This window comes from Homo sapiens, chromosome 5 (assembly GCF_000001405.40).
Source record: "Homo sapiens chromosome 5, GRCh38.p14 Primary Assembly".
In the NCBI taxonomy this organism is placed as follows: domain Eukaryota; kingdom Metazoa; phylum Chordata; class Mammalia; order Primates; family Hominidae; genus Homo; species Homo sapiens.
This window is the reverse complement of record NC_000005.10, coordinates 127,736,369-127,759,024: the sequence shown is the minus strand read 5'-3', so window position 1 is coordinate 127,759,024 and position 22,656 is coordinate 127,736,369. Positions and strand designations below refer to the sequence as shown.

Sequence of the window (22,656 nt, the reverse complement as noted above, 5' to 3'; positions counted from 1 at the left end):
GGAGAGACTCTGGGCTAACACTGCTGCCAAAAGGAATGTTACCTCATAAGCTCTATGTTGGCATGCATCTGGATCCAGACTTCATTGCAAAAGTATGGGTTTTCTTGACACTATCTTTTGTCTCAGCACAAAAGCTGTATGGTCTATTTGCTTGTGTATGGTCATAAACAGCAGTCCACCAGAGTCCCTTTCCTTGTCCTCTTATATTCACTGGTGATAGAAGCCAGCACACATGAAAAAACTATTTTTTATGGGCTTCTCTAGAAATGCTTTTACTTTTCATCTTTCTTTCACATTCCTAACAGCTTTTCTCCCTTTTATTCACCCTTTTTTTTATCTATTACCCAACATCCAGGCATTTAGTTTTCCTCCCACCTGATCTTAACCTATGGGAAATACAATAAAGTATTTTCTTAAGCAAAACTTGGTAATATGTTGAGTGGTTTATCATTATAACCTAGGTTAGAAGTTGGAGCCAAATGACACTTTCTCACTCTACTTTGGCTGAATTGGTGCAGTTATTTCTCAAAGCCTTGACTAACCCAGATTATAAGTCTTAATTGCAAGTTATCCTGATCCCATTATTTCTTTTATTTTGACATTAGTGACTTGGCTGCAGAGAAATAAAGAATAATTGTAAGCTAAAGTGAAGCCCAACAAAGAATTCTGTTGACTGTGTGACCTCATCGGAGGAAGTGGCCACAACCTTCTTATTTGTTGGCTATTTCTAATTTTTTTCTTTGTAACAGTGGACCTTGCTGAAGGAGACCTTAGAAATGCCCAGTTTGCACAAATTTAGGCCCAGGACCAACAGATGATTAATGCAGGTAACAACACTAGGCACCTATACTTTCCATTCTGAGTTAAATCTGTGTTCTCAGAGGCAAAGCTAACAGATAAGGTCTTGAATAACAGTGAGATTAACCCTTTTCTCAAAGGCAGGATCCATTGTTTGATAATATTGCAAGCTTCCACTGCTTCATTCCAGCACAAATCTTGGTTCTTGTCGTGTCTTCCACACTCCCCACCTCATTCTACTTCACCCGGCTAGCCCATAATTTGGGTTACCAGTAAAGGCAAGCTAGCATTCCCAACATCCTTGTGACAAATCCTAAATTAATGACATTTAGAAAAAGCCTTAACGTGTACAGCAGGCAAAAATATTCCTTCAAACACACACACACACACACACATACACACAGATTGAGAGAGAGAGAGAGAGAGAGTGTGTGTGTGTGTGTGTGTGTGTGTGTGTGTAATCCTTGTCTTTAACACTAAAGACAGTCTTACTGCAATCCCTTAGTGGCATGGCCTGGTAAGGAAGACAGTGGCACCCAGTGGACAAATGTTTGATTGTTTGTGACAGGTGTTCTATTCTGAAATATTCTCAAGAACATTCTTAGGAAATATCAGTTTCTCCCCTTTCCCTATCCTCTCATCCATATGTTTTTAATGTTGACTTAAATTTTAAAATAGGGGACAGAGGACTGTTCTTAAAGTTTTTATGTTTTCAAGGAAGAGACTAAACATTGGAGAAAGCAAAAATCTCAGGATTAAATCCTCTGACAACAGTGTTGATTGACCCCTCTCAACAGTAACAATGAAGACAGCCAGATCTCATAAAATGCTCAAGTTAATTAAAAATATAATATTGAAAATGGCTGCAATGTGCTTTTACACATCATACTCTCCCTTTCCTCAAACTATGGCCAACTTCCAATTAAACTCACTTGGTTATGCAAATTTGGCAACTTCAAGAACTATCCTTTAGTACAATTAACATGTACAGATCCTGCAACTTAATGCTATTGTGCAGTTTATCTTGGAGTCATATAAACACCTATTTTCATTCTCCATGTCTTCCAATTTTTCTATTCTCTGTGAGCTACTTGGGTAGAGAAGCTCTGGCTTACATGTCTTTCCCACAAAACACCTAACCAGCACCTTACTTATGGTAGGTACAAAAAAGTTAAGTGAAATCCAGTTTCCATTTTATATATTTAATCTGCTATATTACTGAAAAAATAAATACATCTAATTGTTTGGTGTTATATAAAGAGATCATCCAGCTAAGAATCTTAAATATTAGGAGCTATTTGTGAAACCACCTTTGTAAATTATAACTGAGGAAATTATGACAGTGAGAGAAATAAGACCTAACCAACTCTATCTTGCTTCTAACCCTTAAGCTGTCCTTGTTCATTCCTGGGCATAGGCCGAACTAACTTTGGGAAGGAATTCAGTTCATGGTTTGACTCTGAAACAAAATTGATAACAGCCCTTTCCCGAAAAGACCCTGTTCTTGCCTGGGGTCCAATCTGCCCTTGCAGAACTACCAAATTAGCTGCAAGATTAGAAATTACAATTTAGGGTTCATGCAGCCTGTGGCTGAACCTCCCCAAATTGCTCCTGGGGATAACATCACTATTGTAAAGCTTAAGATCAGTGCTTCAGATATTTTGCAGATCCTGCACTCGATGGATCAGCTGACACCACTCAGATGGTAATCTGCCCCAACCAGTTCTGCCATCGCACCCAGGAACAGAAGACATTAAGAAAACCTAACTTCGAGCTCCTATGATTCCATCTCCAACCTGACCAACCAGCACTCCCCACTTCCCGGGCCCCTCCCCGTCGAATTATCTTTAAAAACTCTGATCCCTGAATGCTTAGGGAGACTGATTTGAGTAATAATAAAATCCCGGTCTCCTGCACAGCCGGCTCTGCGGCTCTGTGATTTACTCTTTCTCCGTTGTAATTCCCCTGTCTTGATAAATCGATTCTGTCTAGGCAGCGGGCAAGGTGAACCCATTGATTGGGTGGTTACATTTGCATTGGATAAAAATATTTCATCAAGAACAAAAATAATGTGTACTTTTTTTTTTTTTCTTTGAGACAGAGTCTGGCTCTGTCGCCCAGGCTGGAGTGCAGTGGCGCAATCTCGGCTCACTGCAAGCTCCGCCTCCCGGGTTCACGCCATTCTCCTGCCTCAGCCTCCCGAGTACCTGGGACTACAGGTGCCACCCACTACGCTGGGCTAATTTTTTTGTACTTTTAGTAGAAACGGGCTTTCGCCATGTTAGCCAGGATGGTCTCGATCTCTTGACCTCGTGATCCACCCGCCTCAGCCTCCCAAAGTGCAGGAATGGGTACTTTTATGAGTGAATTCAATCTTACTGATTCAAACGAGAAATCATTAAAAGCCATTTGATTACCAAAAAAAAAAAAATCCTATATACCTTCTTAGTGTAACCTAATCCCAGCATGGGTGCCCTTTTTTAGTTATCCATTGAAAAATCTTTCCCAATTTGGAGACTCTGAAATTCTTAGTTTTTTTTTTTTTTGCTTTGAAATGGTACCTTATGTTTATCATTACGTTCTTGGTAATTCTTAATTTTGCCACAGTTCGAGGCTTGTTTTTGTTTATTTTAGAAAAAAAAAAAAACAACAGTTGGCAGGCTAGAGCTATGGCTTGAGGCTGAGATGGAAACTTTTCCAAAAGGGCAACACATTTTTATTAATTGACACAAGCCCCCTGTGACCGCTTGCATCAATCGCATTTAGTCAGTAAACAATAAATACATGCCAAAGTAAGGGATGCACCTTTTTTGGTAAGCTGAAAAAGAAATGAAGGGCATTTGTGTGTGTATCACTAAATTATATATTAATTATACTTTTTCTCATAACACAAGCACCTTTCCTCCTTAGTTTCCGCTAAAATTCTGATGCAATTAGGTTTCACTATACAGGGAGACTACCTTTATTAAAAGTACCTTAAAATTCTTTTTTTCCAATGTATCTAAAATATACTTTTATCTAAATGTATCAATCCAGAAGAAATTAATAAACATTTCTAACATTGCAGGGCCTCCTCCATCCTTTTCCCTTCACTGACTGTCACCAAAAGAGAGCACTGGGGGACCGAGACTCCAAGCAGTTTGTCCCCTGGGGCCAAGCCTCTCTGACCAGGGGGAAAGGCAACAATAGCTGCACTATTTGCAAAGTATAATCTTATTGGGAAATGTTCCAGCCCTGGTCTGAGCTTTACTTATACCCACAGCCACTGTCTCTGAAATCATGGAGCTGCTGTACATGCAAAGCACCTATAACGTGTCCAGGCCACCTGGGGCAGACCAGGCTCCACTTATCACCTGCTGCTTTGCTTCTGTAAGTTTCAAAAACCCAAGAGGGATGTCAATATTTGAAAAACTCTCTTCCAAGTAAAGTTTCCTAAAAATAAAAGAAAATTACTTCTGCATGGCTCCAATAGGCTTTATTTTATCTTTGAGCTTATCTGTTTATAATGCAAATATGCTTTGCTTATTCAGGAAGATCACTTAGTTAAAGAAGGTTTGCCTAACTCATGGCCTGTGGTGAATGAAAGTCAAATAAAATATAAAGATGAAAAAAGTTTTAAACGCTGAAAAGGTCCATACAGACTAAAGTAAGCACTGTTATGTCTAAAATGAATGGAATGCTGTGTGTGTGTGGGGTGGGGGGGCATACTGCAATGTGTGTGTGTGTGTGTGTATGTGTGTGTGTGTGTGTGTGTATCAGTAGAGGGAGAGGTTAAAACGTGTGTTTACATTTACACTTGCCATGCTGCACACTGAGGAACATTTGTTTCCAGTTCCCATGACAGGTGTTACCTGTTCAGATAAAGCTTTAGCCTTTTCTTCTGCTTCTTTCAGGCAAATCTCCAAGGACTCAAGTTGGGCCAAGGTAAACGCCATCTGTCCAGTATCCAGGGACGCTTTCTTTAAAAAAAAAAAAATCAAGTATTACTTTTTGACATGGATAGTTTGAGTGCATCTCAAACAATCTTATGGACTTGATAAGATCCATAAGAGTTTATCAATGATAGGCTTGATAAACTCACACAAATCCTCCCCTTTTCTTAACATGGAAATAAAACAGCAAAATGTTTTAACAATAGTTTCATTTAAAATATACAAAGTAAAAAGAGTAAAAAATAAATGATGACAATGAACAGCTTTAGAAAGTTAGATTAAATAACTGTCATTGGAATTTGACTACTTTGAAACTTTTATTCTTACTCCAAAAGGTTAGGATGAAAATTTCACATTCCTGATGGAAGATGTCACCTAGAATGCCTATGTTTTTAACAGTCATCTAACAGTAGGAACAGAGTCAACTGAACTCAGAGAAACCCTGTTTCCTCTCATCTTCACCTTCTTAGCATATGTCATTAAAGCAAAGATACCACATGTTTTAGAATCAGATCATTCTTCCCCAGAGCCTGGCTAATATGACTTAAATTAGCAGATGTGTAGACTCTGCCTGTCAAGTTTTTTCTCTTTTTTTTTTTTTTTTTTCCAGGCAGAGTTTTGCTCTTGTTGCCCAGGCCGAGTGCAAGGGCACGATCTTGGCTCACTGCAACCTCCACCTCCTGGGTTCAAGCGATTCTCCTGTCTCAGCCCCTGGAGATTACAGGCACGCGCCACCATGCCTGGATAATTTTTATATTTTTAGTAGAGACGTGGATTCCCCATGTTGGCCAGGCTAGTCTTGAAATCCTGACCTCGTGATCTGCCCGCCTCAGCCTCCCAAAGTGCTGGGATTGCAGGTGTGAGCCACTGCGCCTGGACTCAAAATGTTTCTAAAGTTACTTTTTCTCAGCTACAAGCTGAAGAGTATGCAAAATTGGTAGGAAAACACAAGGTACAGGCCTTTGTGAGATTAGAGCACTTCCTAACTACTCTTTTGCTATTGTGATACTTAATAATTAGAAAGAAATATGAAAAGTTGGAAAACCTTGTACATGCTAGGATGATGACCTTCCTATAGCTTGGCTGTGGGTGTGTCCTGTTTTCTTGTGAATACTCCTGCTGCAGCTGCTTCCAATTAACCCCACAAACAATGAACTGCGAGGAGCCAAGATGGCCGAATAGGAACAGCTCCGGTCCACAGCTCCCAGCCTGAGCGACGCAGAAGACGGGTGATTTCTGCATTTCCATCTGAGGTACCGGGTTCATCTCACTAGGGAGTGCCAGACAGTGGGCGCAGGTCAGTGGGTGCGCACACCGACGCGACCCAAAGCAGGGCGAGGCATTGCCTCACTTGGGAAGCGCAAGGGGTCAGGGAGTTCCCTTTCCTAGTCAAAGAAAGGGGTGACGAACGGCACCTGGAAAATCGGGTCACTCCCACCCGAATACCGCACTTTTCCAACCGGCTTAAAAAACGGCGCACCACGAGATTATATCTCGCACCTGGCTCAGAGGGTCCTACGCCCACGGAGTCTCGCTGACTGCTAGCACAGCAGTCTGAGATCAAACTGCAAGGCGGCAGCGAGGCTGGGGGAGGGGCGCCCGCCATTGCCCAGGCTTGCTTAGGTAAACAAAGCAGCCCGGAAGCTCTAACTGGGTGGAGCCCACCACAGCTCAAGGAGGCCTGCCTGCCTCTGTAGGCTCCACCTCTGGGGGCAGGGCACAGACAAACAAAAAGACAGCAGTAACCTCTGCAGACTTAAATGTCCCTGTCTGACAGCTTTGAAGAGAGCAGTGGTTCTTCCAGTACACAGCTGGAGATCTGAGAACGGGCAGACTGCCTCCTCAAGTGGGTCCCTGACCCCTGACCCCCGAGCAGCCTAACTGGGAGGCACCCTCCAGCAGGGGCACACTGACACCTCACACGGCAGGGTACTCCAACAGACCTGCAGCTGAGGGTCCTGTCTGTTAGAAGGAAAACTAACAAACAGAAAGGACATCCACACCAAAAACCCATCTGAACATCACCATCATCAAAGACCAAAAGTAGATAAAACCACAAAGATGGGGAAAAAACAGAGCAGAAAAACTGGAAACTAAAAATCAGAGTGCCTCTCCTCCTCCAAAGGAATGCAGCTCCTCACCAGCAACGGAACAAAGCTGGATGGAGAATGACTTTGATGAGCTGAGGGAAGAAGGCTTCAGACGATCAAATTACTCTGAGCTACGGGAGGACGTTCAAACCAAAGGCAAAGAAGTTGAAAACTTTGAAAAAAATTTAGAAGAATGTATAACTAGAATAACCAATACAGAGAAGTGCTTAAAGGAGCTGATGGAGCTGAAAACCAAGGCTCGAGAACTACGTGAAGAATGCAGAAGCCTCAGGAGCCGATGCGATCAACTGGAAGAAAGGGTATCAGCAATGGAAGAAGAAATGAATGAAATGAAGCGAGAAGGAAAGTTTAGAGAAAAAAGAATACAAAGAAATGAGTAAAGCCTCCAAGAAATATGGGACTATGTGAAAAGACCAAATCTACGTCTGATTGGTGTACCTGAAAGTGATGGGGAGAATGGAACCAAGTTGGAAAACACTCTGCAGGATATTATCCAGGAGAATTTCCCCAGTCTAGCAAGGCAGGCCAACGTTCAGATTCAGGAAATATAGAGAACGCCACAAAGATACTCCTCGAGAAGAGCAACTCCAAGACACATAATTGTCAGATTCACCAAAGTTGAAATGAAGGAAAAAATGTTAAGGGCAGCCAGAGAGAAAGGTCACGTTACCCTCAAAGGGAAGCCCATCAGACTAATAGCGGATCTCTCGGCAGAAACCCTACAAGCCAGAAGAGAGTGGGGGCCAATATTCAACATTCTTAAAGAAAAGAATTTTCAACCCAGAATTTCATATCCAGCCAAACTAAGCTTCATGAGTGAAGGAGAAATAAAATACTTTACAGACAAGCAAATGCTGAGAGATTTTGTCACCACCAGGCCTGCCCTAAAAGAGCTCTTGAAGGAAGTGCTAAACATGGAAAGGAACAACTGGTACCAGCTGCTGCAAAATCATGCCAAGATGTAAAGACCATCGAGACTAGGAAGAAACTGCATCAACTAACGAGCAAAATAACCAGCTAACATCATAATGACAGGATCAAATTCACACATAACAATATTAACTTTAAATGTAAATGGACTAAATGCTCCAATTAAAAGACACAGACTGGCAAATTGGATAAAGAGTCAAGACCCATCAGTGTGCTGTATTCAGGAAACCCATCTCACGTGCAGAGACACACATAGGCTCAAAATAAAAGGATGGAGGAAGATCTACCAAGCAAATGGAAAACAAAAAAAGGCAGGGGTTGCAATCTTAGTCTCTGATAAAACAGACTTTAAACCAACAAAGATCAAAAGAGACAAAGAAGGCCATTACATAATGGTAAAGGGATGAATTCAACAAGAAGAGCTAACTACCCTAAATATATATGCACCCAATACAGGAGCACCCAGATTCATAAAGCAAGTCCTGAGTGACCTACAAAGAGACTTAGACTCCCACACATTAATAATGGGAGACTTTAACACCCCACTGTCAACATTAGACAGATCAACGAGACAGAAAGTCAACAAGGATACCCAGGAATTGAACTCAGCTCTGCACCAAGCGGACCTAATAGACATCTACAGAACTCTCCACCCCAAATCAACAGAATATACATTTTTTTCAGCACCACACCACACCTATTCCAAAATTGACCACATACTTGGAAGTAAAGCACTCCTCAGCAAATGTAAAAGAACAGAAATTATAACAAACTATCTCTCAGACCACAGTGCAATCAAACTAGAACTCAGGATTAAGAATCTCACTCAAAACCCCTCAACTACATGGAAACTGAACAACCTGCTCCTGAATGACTACTGGGTACATAATGAAATGAAGGCAGAAATAAAGATGTTCTTTGAAACCACTGTGAACAAAGACACAACATACCAGAATCTCTGGGATGCATTCAAAGCAGTGTGTAGAGGGAAATTTATAGCACTAAATGCCCACAAGAGAAAGCAGGAAAGATGCAAAATTGACACCCTAACATCACAATTAAAAGAACTAGAAAAGCAAGAGCAAACACATTCAAAAGCTAGCAGAAGGCAAGAAATAACTAAAATCCGAGCAGAAGTGAAGGAAATAGAGACACAAAAAACTCTTCAAAAAATTAATGAATCCAGGAGCTGGTTTTTTGAAAGGATCAACAAAATTGATAGACCGCTAGCAAGACTAATAAAGAAAAAAAGAGAGAAGAATCAAATAGACACAATAAAAAATGATAAAGGGGATATCACCACCGATCCCACAGAAATACAAACTACCATCAGAGAATACTATAAACACCTCTACGCAAATAAACTAGAAAATCTAGAAGAAATGGATAAATTCCTTGACATATACACTCTCCCAAGACTAAACCAGGAAGAAGTTGAATCTCTGAATAGACCAATAACAGGATCTCAAATTGTGGCAATAATCAATAGCTTACCAACCAAAAAGAGTCCAGGACCAGATGGATTCACAGCCAAATTCTACCATAGGTAAAAGGAGGAACTGGTACCATTCCTTCTGAAACTATTCCAATCAATAGAAAAAGAGGGAATCCTCCCTAACTCATTTTATGAGGCCAGCATCATTCTGATACCAAAGCCGGGCAGAGACACAACCAAAAAAGAGAATTTTAGAACAATATCCTTGATGAACATTGATGCAAAAATCCTCAATAAAATACTGGCAAAACGAATCCAGCAGCACATCAAAAAGCTTATCCACCATGATCAAGTGGGCTTCATCCCTGGGATGCAAGGCTGGTTCAATATACGCAAATCAATAAATGTAATCCAGCATATAAAAAGAGCCAAAGACAAAAACCACATGATTATCTCAATAGATGCAGAAAAGGCCTTTGACAAAATTCAACAACCTTTCATGCTAAAAACTCTCAATAAATTAGGTCTTGATGGGACATATTTCAAAATAATAAGAGCTATCTATGACAAACCCACAGCCAATATCCTACTGAATGGGCAAAAACTGGAAGCATTCCCTTTGAAAACTGGGACAAGACAGGGATGCCCTCTCTCACCACTCCTATTCAACATAGTGTTGGAAGTTCTGGCCAGGGCAATTAGGCAGGAGAAGGAAATAAAGGATATTCAATTAGGAAAAGAGGAAGTAAGTCAAATTGTCCCTGTTTGCAGATGACATGATTGTATATCTAGAGAACCCCATTGTCTCAGCCCAAAATCTCCTTAAGCTGATAAGCAACTTCAGCAAAGTCTCAGGATACAAAATCAATGTGCAAAAATCACAGGCATTCCTATACACCAACAACAGACAAACAGAGAGCCAAATCATGAGTGAACTCCCATTCACAATTGCTTCAAAGAGAATAAAATACCTAGGAATCCAACTTACAAGGGATGTGAAGGACCTCTTCAAGGAGAACTACAAACCACTGCTCAAGGAAATAAAAGAGGATACAAACAAATGGAAGAACATTCCATGCTCATGGGTAGGAAGAATCAATATTGTGAAAATGGCCATACTGCCCAAGGTAATTTACAGATTCAATGCCATCCCCATCAACCTACCAATGCCTTTCTTCACAGAATTGGAAAAAACTACTTTAAAGTTCATATGGAACCAAAAAAGAGCCCAAATCGCCAAGTCAATCCTAAGCCAAAAGAACAAAGCTGGAGGCATCACACTACCTGACTTCAAACTATACTACAAGGCTACAGTAACCAAAACAGCATGGTACTGGTACCAAAACAGAGATATAGATCAATGGAACAGAACAGAGCCCTCAGAAATAACGCCGCATATCTACAACTATCTGATCTTTGACAAACCTGAGAAAAACAAGCAATGGGGAAAGGATTCCCTATTTAATAAATGGTGCTGGGAAAACTGGCTAGCCATATGTAGAAAGCTGAAACTGGATCCCTTCCTTACACCTTATACAAAAATCAATTCAAGATGGATTAAAGACTTAAACGTTAGACCTAAAACCATAAAAACCCTAGAAGAAAACCTAGGCATTACCATTCAGGACATAGGCATGGGCAAGGACTTCATGTCTAAAACACCAAAAGCAATGGCAACAAAAGACAAAATTGACAAATGGGATCTAATTAAACTAAAGAGCTTCTGCACAGCAAAAGAAACTACCATCAGAGTGAACAGGCAACCTACAGAATGGGAGAAAATTTTTGCAACCTACTCATCTGACAAAGGGCTAATATCCAGAATCTACAATGAACTCAAACAAATTTACAAGAAAAAAACAAACAACTCCATCAAAAAGTGGGCAAAGGACATGAACAGACACTTCTCAAAAGAAGACATTTATGCAGCCAAAAAACACATGAAAAAATGCTCACCATCACTGGCCATCAGAGAAATGCAAATCAAAACCACAATGAGATACCATCTCACACCAGTTAGAATGGCAATCATTAAAAAGTCAGGAAACAACAGGTGCTGGAGAGGATGTGGAGAAATAGGAACACTTTTACACTGTTGGTGGGACTGTAAACTAGTTCAACCATTGTGGAAGTCAGTGTGGTGATTCCCCAGGGATCTAGAACTGGAAATACCATTTGACCCAGCCATCCCATTACTGGGTATATACCCAAAGGACTATAAATCATGCTGCTATAAAGACACATGCACACGTATGTTTATTGCGGCATTATTCACAATAGCAAAGACTTGGAACCAACCCAAATGCCCAACAATGACAGACTGGATTAAGAAAATGTGGCACATATACACCATGGAATACTATGCAGCCATAAAAAATGATGAGTTCATGTCCTTTGTAGGGACATGGATGAAATTGGAAACCATCATTCTCAGTAAACTATCACAAGGACAAAAAACCAAACACCGCATATTCTCACTCATAGGTGGGAATTGAACAATGAGATCACATGGACACAGGAAGGGGAACATCACACTCTGGGGACTGTTGCGGGGTGGGGAGAGGGGGGAGGGATAGCATTGGGAGATATACCTAATGCTAGATGACGAGTTAGTGGGTGCAGCACACCAGCATGGCACATGTATACGTATGTAACTAACCTGCACAATGTGCACATGTACCCTAAAACTTAAAGTATAACAATAAAAAAATAAATAAATAAAAAAGAAACAAGAAATAAAAAAAAAAAAGAATGAACTGCATTCCTACATACCTTAAAGGTCTAACTTCTGCTTTATTTTTTTCCCTATGGCTTATGAGACCACTGATTTTACATGTGTGCATTTCCTGATGATACAATAGAGCCATCTGGTGGTAAATGAAACCAGGCATAAAAATACAGCATTCATTCAGTTTTTGTAATTGTTCATACTATACATTGAACCTTGAGTCTCTGCCACTGGCCTCTGATATAAACAGAATTCTATGGGAGGAGGGGCAAAAAAATATTGCTACGTCACCAACAGCCTGGCTCCACAGTCAAGTTCTGCCACTACAGGTGCATACTCACCCTCAAAAGTTTGCCATTAGGGGAGGAATATCTTAGGCTGGAATGGTGATACTAGGAAGTGAACCAATTGTCCTCGGATCCCTGATGGTTCCAGTAATTTCAAAAATGGGTTCAAAAATTCTCAAAAAAAAAAAAAAGGCTTTAAACAAAATTCTTGTGTATTTACACTTAGAGATGAATACATGTTGTAAGACATTATATGCAGAAATGGGGAATTGTCATGAGGCCAAACTATTTTTAAAAGATTGAGAATCTCTGATCTAGACTGCTATTTCCAGGGAAAATTTTCTTGTTGAATGTTTGATCTCAAGAAGAAGTTTTTAAAATTTGTATGAGTAGACTCAGCAAGATTGTCTAATCCATATCTCCAGGCCTTCTCCAAACACCCAAAATTTCCCTGGCTAAGAAGAACAAACATTTCCATAAGACAAAAGCAATATAAGTCAAAGCCAAATGAAACAGGCATAAACGAGGACTGTTATTAAATAACATAGGACTTTTCATACAGACAAATTTAGGAAATTGTCATCTGTTTTAGGACAGAGAAAGACCTGAGCAAACTGTGGAGAATGCAAAGTCAGTCTTTTACACCTTCACTCCAGCTGCAGTGAGCACACCCTGCTCTCTGACCTGCCTTTCAGCTTCTCCCACTCCCTTACGGGAAAGAGCTTATACAAAAGCAAGCACTTTTTAAATAGGAGGTAACCCCATTAACAGAAAAAAGGCAAACAAAAATGAAGTCAAGAACAATTTCAAAAATAAGTAAACACATAAAGATAGAGGTCTGGGAGGTGGATATGTGGTTTCAAAGACTAAAAAAGTTAGATGTGTTCAGTTGTTGTCCCAGTTTTGCAAGGTGCAATGGCAGAAGGGCAGAAAGATAGGACTTCCATAATTAATTTTATTTTACTTCCAGGTACGTGTGGACACATGCAATTTGTATTAATAATGAAAATGAATACTTTCAGTGGTTAAAGTAGTTGCAAGTGAATAATACTAATCAACAGTCTGTTATATGACATCAAAATGATGAAAATATAGGCAATATATAGGTGTTTGGGAATTGAACCTGTGTATGGATTTCCAAATGGTAAATTCCAACAATTTAATAAAAATTCTCTTTGTTAATTTCTACTTTTTGTCTTAAAATTGTCTACCTAAATATAAAGTTATTATCTAAATACAGATACCTAATGTAGCCAAGATGATCAATCTAAAATGATACTAAATAACACTAAAAATTCAATAAACTCTTTGATTACAGTAAAGACACCTGACTATTATTATGCATGGATGTTGAGGTTGATAGTTTACTAACTGAACAAATCTTATATGACATTGTAAGAGTAGACTTCATTTTGGTTGCAAAGGTTTCTCATTGGATAATTTAAAAGAAAATTTGCATATTATTTTCTAATTTTATATTTCTTGATTTCTTAATCTATTCCAGTACCTTCTCATTATCCTCTACCTTGCTGTTAAGCCTTTATTTCTCTGTCCTAAAATGACAGCTGTACAAACTCTTTGACCCTTAAGGATTGGCTCAAGGTTTCTGACTGATCCAACTTCATGTGCGGTATCTAGAAAGATTCCTGTCTGCAGAAGACAGATGGGACTTTGCTGAACAGTAAGTAGGAGCCTGATAAATAATTGTTGATTGATTAAAGGCTCGGCAGTCAAGGAAGGTGGCTGTACCAGAGCAGGCAGTCCTTCATGCTGAGAGGCTATAACAGTGACTTCTTTGAGCAATACTTTTCATGCATCTGACCTGGGACATTGACAGGGATCAGAGCCACAGAGAAGCTCTGCTTGCCATGGTCAGGGGCCAGATGTGCAGATGAGGGCAAGAATGTGGTCACGAGGTTGAGTGATGGAACGGTTGTTTTAAGAATTGAATGAGGTAAAGCAGGTAAATGCTTTGACAGAAGAAGTGCTCAATAAATGTTAATAATTCCATTATCCCAATTCCTTTAAAGAGAATAATTTGGTATTAAGACTCTCTAGCTTATTTTAAAACCCAAGTAAAAGAAAATACCCATGGGGACACTTTTGTAACAGCAAGTGACCAAACAGCAGTGGGAAATTCAATCAAGTTTGTAATTAAGAACAGTTAATGTATTAAATATGTGCATGTGCATTTATTTAAGAGCAAGATTTTTAAATAAAAGTGTGGTTATGGCAAATTTCACCATTGTGGAAGAGCATTTTGACATAGGTCAGTTTTGGAGAATTCAGTTTCTCTAAAATCTGAGGCTTCTAATATGTCAGGGTTCCAGCAGCAGCCCCTGCTCAGTGGTACAGTAACTTCCTGCCAGATAAACACATTTTACAAATATCCTGTTTGATATCTATTCATTACTGCTGTCCATTCCTCTCTCCTTCTGCTTGACAGGCACCTATCACCCTATTCTTCCTTACCCTTCTTCAACCTACTCATTTTCTCATGCAGATTCAAGTCTTTCCCCAGCTGATCATCTTCTCCCCAACCTACCACCCATGCCTCAGCCCCTCACCCTGGGCACATTTATTTCATCTCTCCCCGCTCCCCTTTCATGATCAGAATTCACATCACAGTGGTAATTTCATCATTCTCATGTTCTTTTGTGTTTAGCGTTTTCAATAGTTTCTTTTTTTTTTTCCTTTTTTTTTTTTTTTTGAGACGGAGTCTCGCTCTGTAGCCCAGGCTGGAGTGCAGTGGCGCAACCTCGGCTCACTGCAAGCTCTGCCTCCTGGGTTCATGCCATTCTCCTGCCTCAGCCTCCCGAGTAGCTGGGACTACAGGCGCCCGCCACCATGCCTGGCTAATTTTTTTGTATTTTTTTAGCAGAGACGGGGTTTCACCGTGTTAAGCCAGGATGGTCTCGATCTCCCGACCTCGTGATCCACCCGCCTCGGCTTCCCAAAGTGCAGGGATTACAGGCGTGAGCCACCGCGCCTGGCCCTGCAATAGTTTCTTATACTAAATTGCCCATTTCTACTTAGGCAAATATTTAAAAACTCAATTTTCCTGGCTCTAATCCACTCCAGTGAAAACAGTATTCCTCTGTGTTTGGGTTTGCCTCAATAGTCACCTAAGAAGATGTTTAAATTAGAAATGTGAACAAACTACAACTAGTTGTTGAAATGCCCATCTATATGGCTGAGCAGGTGGTGGCCCTGGGAGGATGGTGGCCTGGATGAGCACAACCTAAGGAGCACTCTTCTTGTAATCTGGAAGGCATGGTCTATATCTGACTTGATTCTAAGTGACCATGTGACTTTGGACCAGCTACTTCATTTGTCTGCGTCTCAACATTTTCATCTTTAAATGAAGAATGTATTGATCAAGACAGCAGGAAATAGATGGCTACTCCAATGCAGAAACCGAGGAGAGTTAAACGAAGGGATGATTTAGAAGGTGTGGGTAAGATTAAAGGAACCAACAAAGGTTGGTGAAGCATTTCCTGGAAGTACGGGTGCCCTTTGCCTTATCTTGACCTGAAGAGGTAGGGGAAGAGCAAAACTGACAAGTCTAGAAAGAAAGCTTGAGGAGAGGAACACAGCCACGGCCAACTATGTCTAGGCAGTCTTGGTGGTTGGAGGGAAGCGGGGAGGGGAAATGAACCAGCGGAGTAAATAGCCTGACCTTCTCTCTTCTCATCCCCTCTTCTCCTGTCTGTGTCTCTCTTGGGCTGAACTCATCAAGCCAGAGGGCAAGAGAACCCAAATAAATGTCCAGCGAGATCAGCGTTCCCTGAAAAGATGAGTTGGGAAGGGTGGAGAGTGGATAGGGAGGAGGAAACAAAAAAACCTCAGCCCAAAGGGGTTTAATTATATTAGTGGTTCCCAAATGCCACCCCATAGATCAGTGTTGGTTTGTGATAACATTTGTGCCAACCAGCAACAAAAGGACAAGGCAAACTTTTAAAGAGAACATTGTGAATTTTTCATGAAGCCAAATTGATTCCACTTTGAAGACTGTCATTTATTCTGAGATTATAATCATTCTGCTTTCTTTGGTGTTAAGAGGATATTTCTTTAACAAATGATGGTGGTACATGGAAATTATTGTGTTTTAGTGTCTTGAAAAAAATTGAAAAGTTGGCAGTCCTATGAGAACTAACCCTAATTATTTTGGGTGTGAAAATTCTTACTGGTTTATGAAATCTAAGTATAGAGACCTCCTATCTAAATGATCTCTGTTAAATTGTGAATTGAATGTTTTATCAGGTGACCTTTCCAGAACTAGAGTCCCTGAATTCCCCTGGACCTAGTCCAAGATGCACCTGTATTCTATATCAACTTATCTGCCTTAGCAAGGTTCCAGGATACTATTTTTTTTAGAAATAAACACATTCCTAAAAGTCAACCTTTCACCCTGTGAAAGATTTAACTACTTGTCCATTTCTATAGCATTACTGATAGAATAAAAGAAAAAGGTATTGGAAAGAAATTGTTGACTCAGATTTTAATTTATAAAAAGGTTGTTGGCATGGAAGTTAAAGAGAAATGCCCATGTGACATTTGATAGCTTCATAAATAACTTTAAATAATGGCTGACCCAAAACTCTTAACATGCCAACTCTTATTCAGCTCAAAGCAATTCAATTCATTTAAGTTCAAAAAATATTTATTGAAGGCTCACTATTTGCCAGGCACTATACTAGGCAACAGGGAAATAAGGAGTAACAAGGCAGACGTAGTTAATATGCTCACTAGGAGTCTCAGCCTAGAATTTCTCTCCAATACAGAAATCTTGGGATTAGGTTTATGTAAAAATGAAAAGAATGTCACAAGTTTGGTGGTTAATTTAACGTTTTTATGCTCACTCCTAATATACTGCTTTGTGCTTTAGGGCTTTGTTCCTTCCTCTTTGATGAAGATTCTGGTAGATGTTAGAAGGTGGTAAGAGGCAGTTCTAATCTGTTTTCAAATATTCCAGGTCTATCTCTAGTAACATTGCTTTATAGGCTCTTAGAGACCTTGTATAAACAGCATCAGAGGAGAAAAAGGACCTTGCAAAAGATGGATATCTTGCATGGTTTAAATTAAAGTTAATAGCAAAATAGGATCTGGGCTAGAGGAGTCCTGAATTCAAGTTCATATTACATTACATATGTTACAGAATCTGTTCTGTGACCTAAAATAGCCCTCTATCATTTTGATTTATGAGCAACAGAGACTCCTTTGAACACCTGATAACATCTGTGAATTCTCTTATCAAAAAAAGTATGTGCACAGCTTGCACACACATACAGTAAGCACACCTGCACATAATTTTGTATATGCTTTCAGGGTGTTTAAGCACTCTTCTCAATATCATTCATGTAGCCCACATTAAGCAATCCTTGTTTAGAGGGAATATCACATGCTAGTCACCTTTAATTTTTATTCAAAAATAAATTACAGGCTGGGTGTGCTGGCTCACAACTGCAGTCCCAGCATTTTGGGAGGCTAAGATGGACAGATCTCTCGAGCCCAGGAGTTCAAGATCAGCCTGTGCAACATGGTGAGACCTCGTCTCTGCAAAAAAATAAAAATAATTAGCAGGTGGTGGTGGTGTGTGCCTGCAGTCCCAGCTACTTGGGAAGCTGAGGCTGAAGGATTGCTTGGGCCTGGGAAGTGGAGGCTGCAGTGAGCCGAGATTACGCCACTGCACTCCAGCTTGGATGATAGAGCAAGAACCTGTCTCAACAACAATGACGACAACAACAACTAAATAAAAAAAAATCTATTTGTTTTTAAATAACATTTTCAGTTAAGTGGGATATAAAATACTGCAAATACGTTTGCCATTTGAAAAGATGGTACTTTTTTTGTGTGACAGGATTATTTATTTTCTCACTCATCATGCATGAGTTTAGATTTTGAGTACTTTGGCATGTTGACCAACTATGTTTTCATTCTCCAACTGAATTTTAGTGTTTTAGGAAACGCACATGCCTGTAGGACTTTCAAGTCAGCTCATGAGTAAAGTGATAGAATTGATGACATTTCATTGCCCAAGTTGATTGTGGCTTTTCAAAATTAGTTTTGTTGTATAAATTTTGCTATACTGTGTAAAATTAATAGCAAATGTTTTATGATTGACACTGTTCAGACTGGAGGTAATTTTTTTCTACTAAAAAGTTTTAGATTCTAAATAGGTAAATTTTTTAAAAAATTTAAAAAATTAATTACAATGATAAGAACTTCAATATTCCAACAATGCTATTTCCAAAACCTAGCAAGGAAATCCTTCATTGAAATTGAAGTTTCATAGAAACCTTTTTCATGAGAAACCCTTTTATTACCTCCCAGACTGGCATTTGCACAGACTCCATTCTTTACCAAGATCTGAAGGAGAAATGTGTTATGCATCCTTTCCTATCAGATAAAAGTTTAGCAACAATTTCCATAGTACATTCTAATACTATAAGGCACAGAAGACAGATGGAAAGGCTCACTTTTGCTGTGAATTTCCACTTCTTTTAAGGTCTTGCAATCAAAATGCTTCTAAGAGGCATGGCAAAAATATTGGAGAAGAGAGCATAGTACAGCCAACTGTAGCTACTCAGTGCACCTCAGTTTTCCCATCTGTAAAATGAGAACACCATTGTACCTCATTCAACTTGACCTCTGCACTGGCCATTTGGCAAGCTGTTTTGACTGCCCAGTGTCGTTCTCTGTTTGGATAATTTCCCATCTCATAAATCCTATCTTCCAAAGTTAAAAGCCAGGAGCTCCTTCCCAAGCATTCTTCGCAGCCAAGGTGTAGTTATGTGACTTAGACTCCACCAAGTCAGACACACCAGCATGAAACTTCAATGTGGAGATGCAGGAGCCAAGATGGCCGAATAGGAACAGCTCCGGTCCACAGCTCCCAGCGTGAGCGACGCAGAAGACGGGTGATTTCTGCATTTCCATCTGAGGTACCGGTTTCATCTCACTAGGGAGTGCCAGACAGTGGGCGCAGGTCAGTGGGTGCGCACACCATGCGCGAGCCGAAGCAGGGCGAGGCATTGCCTCACTTGGGAAGTGCAAGGGGTCAGGGAGTTCCCTTTCTGAGTCAAAGAAAGGGGTGACAGATGGCACCTGGAAAATCGGGTCACTCCCACCCGAATACTGCACTTTTCCGACAGGCTTAAAAAACGGAGCATCACGAGATTATATCCCGCACCTGGCTCGGAGGGTCCTACGCACACAGAGTCTCGCTGACTGCTAGCACAGCAGTCTGAGATCAAACTGCAAGGCGGCAGCGAGGCTGGGGGAGGGGCGCCCACCATTGCCCCGGCTTGATTAGGTAAACAAAGCAGCCCGGAAGCTCTAACTGGGTGGAGCCCACCACAGCTCAAGGAGGCCTGCCTGCCTCTGTAGGCTCCACCCCTGGGGGCAGGGCACAGACAAACAAAAAGACAGCAGTAACCTCTGCAGACTTAAATGTCCCTGTCTGACAGCTTTGAAGAGAGCAGTGGTTCTCCCAGCACCCAGCTGGAGATCTGAGAACGGGCAGACTGCCTCCTCAAGTGGGTCCCTGACCCCTGACCCCCGGGCAGCCTAACTGGGAGGCACCCCCCAGCAGGGGCACACTGACACCTCACACGGCAGGGTATTCCAACAGACCTGCAGCTGAGGGTCCTCTCTGTTAGAAGGAAAACTAACAAACAGAAAGGACATCCACACCAAAAACCCATCTGTACATCACCATCATCAAAGATCAAAAGTAGATAAAACCACAAAGATGGGGAAAAAACAGAACAGAAAAACTGGAAACTCTAAAAAGCAGAGCGCCTCCTCCTCCTCCAAAGGAACACAGTTCCTCACCAGCAACGGAACAAAGCTGGATGGAGAATGACTTTGACGAGCTGAGGGAAGAAGGCTTCAGACGATCAAATTACTCTGAGCTATGGGAGGACATTCAAACCAAAGGCAAAGAAGTTGAAAACTGAAAAAAATTTAGAAGAATGTGTAACTAGAATAACCAATACAGAGAAGTGCTTAAAGAAGCTGATGGAGCTGAAAACCAAGGCTCGAGAACTACGTGACGAATGCAGAAGCCTCAGGAGCTGATGTGATCAACTGAAAGAAAGGGTATCAGCAATGGAAGAAGAAATGAATGAAATGAAGCGAGAAGGGAAGTTTAGAGAAAAAAGAATAAAAAGAAATGAGCAAAGCCTCCAAGAAATATGGGACTATGTGAAAAGACCAAATCTACGTCTGATTGGTGTACCTGAAAGTGATGGGGAGAATGGAACCAAGTTGGAAAACACTCTGCAGGATATTATCCAGGAGAACTTCCCCAATCTAGCAAGGCAGGCCAACATTCAGATTCAGGAAATACAGAGAACGCCACAAAGATACTCCTTGAGAAGAGCAACTCCAAGACACATAATTGTCAGATTCACCAAAGTTGAAATGAAGGAAAAAATGTTAAGGGCAGCCAGAGAGAAAGGTCGGGTTACCCTCAAAGGGAAGCCCATCAGACTAACAGCGGATCTCTTGGCAGAAACCCTACAAGCCAGAAGAGAGTGGGGGCCAATATTCAACATTCTTAAAGGAAAGAATTTTCAACCCAGAATTTCATATCCAGCCAATCTAAGCTTCATAAGTGAAGGAGAAATAAAATACTTTACAGACAAGCAAATGCTGAGAGATTTTGTCACCACCAGGCCTGCCTTACAAGAGCTCCTGAAAGAAGCACTAAACATGGAAAGGAACAACTGGTACCAGCTGTTGCAAAATCATGCCAAAATGTAAGGACCATCGAGACTAGGAAGAAACTGCATCAACTAACGAGCAAAATAACCAGCTAACATCATAATGACAGGATCAAATTCACACATAACAATATTAACTTTAAATGTAAATGGACTAAATGCTCCAATTAAAAGACACAGACTGGCAAATTGGATAAAGAGTCAAGACTCATCAGTGTGCTGTATTCAGGAAACCCATCTCACGTGCAGAGTCACACATAGGCTCAAAATAAAAGGATGGAGGAAGATCTACCAAGCAAATGGAAAACAAAAAAAGGCAGGGGTTGCAAACCTAGTCTCTGATAAAACAGACTTTAAACCAACAAAGATCAAAAGAGACAAAGAAGGCCATTACATAATGGTAAAGGGATCAATTCAACAAGAAGAGCTAACTACCCTAAATATATATGCACCCAATACAGGAGCACCCAGATTCATAAAGCAAGTCCTGAGTGACCTACAAAGAGACTTAGACTCCCACACATTAATAATGGGAGACTTTAACACCCCACTGTTAACATTAGACAGATCAACGAGACAGAAAGTCAACAAGGATACCCAGGAATTGAACTCAGCTCTGCACCAAGCGGACCTAATAGACATCTACAGAACTCTCCACCCCAAATCAACAGAATATACATTTTTTTCAGCACCACACCACATCTATTCCAAAACTGACCACATACTTGGAAGTAAAGCTCTCCTCAGCAAATGTAAAAGAACAGAAATTATAACAAACTATCTCTCAGACCACAGTGCAATCAAACTAGAACTCAGGATTAAGAATCTCACTAAAAACCGCTCAACTACATGGAAACTGAACAACCTGCTCCTGAATGACTACTGGGTACATAATGAAATGAAGGCAGAAATGAAGATGTTCTTTGAAACCAACGAGAACAAAGACACAACATACCAGAATCTCTGGGACACATTCAAAGCAATGTGTAGAGGGAAATTTATAGCAGTAAATGCCCACAAGAGAAAGCAGGAAAGATCCAAAATTGACACCCTAACATCACAATTAAAAGAACTAGAAAAGCAAGAGCAAACACATTCAAAAGCTAGCAGAAGGCAAGAAATAACTAAAATCTGAGCAGAACTGAAGGAAATAGAGACACAAAAAACCCTTCAAAAAATTAATGAATCCAGGAGCTGGTTTTTTGAAAGGATCAACAAAATTGATAGACCGCTAGCAAGACTAATAAAGAAAAAAAGAGAGAAGAATCAAATAGACACAATAAAAAATGATAAAGGGGATATCACCACCGATCCCACAGAAATACAAACTACCATCAGAGAATACTACAAACACCTCTATGCAAATAAACTAGAAAATCTAGAAGAAATGGATAAATTCCTGGACACATACACTCTCCCAAGACTAAACCAGGAAGAAGCTGAATCTCTGAATAGACCAATAACAGGCTATGAAATTGTGGCAATGATCAATAGCTTACCAACCAAAAAGAGTCCAGGACCAGATGGATTCACAGCCGAATTCTACCAGAGGTAAAAGGAGGAACTGGTACCATTCCTTCTGAAACTATTCCAATCAATAGAAAAAGAGGGAATCCTCCCTAACCCTTTTTATGAGGCAAGCATCATTCTGATACCAAAGCCAGGCAGAGACACAACAAAAAAAGAGAATTTTAGACCAATATCCT

General features: G+C 40.5%; 1 protein-coding gene across 12 annotated transcripts in view, besides 1 other annotated feature; it reads right to left on the bottom strand.

Moving 5' to 3' along the window:
- The window catches only part of CCDC192 (coiled-coil domain containing 192), a 239,292-nt gene that overhangs the window by 182,483 nt on the left and 34,153 nt on the right, over positions 1-22,656 (bottom strand). For 9 of the 12 annotated variants that reach the window (XR_948757.4, XM_017009806.3, XM_017009807.2 and 6 more), the window contains exon 3: positions 4,650-4,757. Coding sequence is in view for 11 of the 12 variants with exons in the window: in XM_017009806.3 (XP_016865295.1) it covers positions 4,650-4,757 (108 nt within the window). In the remaining variant the exon portion in view is untranslated. Of the gene's footprint in view, positions 1-4,649; positions 4,758-5,775; positions 6,352-18,855; positions 19,516-22,656 lie in introns of those variants that run through there. The other 3 variants (XM_017009805.2, XM_047417685.1, XM_017009808.2) reach the window with 3 other exon arrangements.
- Positions 5,621-6,820: an enhancer, noted in NCBI's record as "BRD4-independent group 4 enhancer chr5:127087897-127089096 (GRCh37/hg19 assembly coordinates)". NCBI's record gives its function as "activates an origin of replication core promoter dependent on BRD2, P300/CBP, MED14 and CDK7 cofactors, and independent of BRD4, by STARR-seq in HCT116 cells {active_cell/tissue: HCT116}" and the evidence as "EXISTENCE:reporter gene assay evidence [ECO:0000049][PMID:35650434]".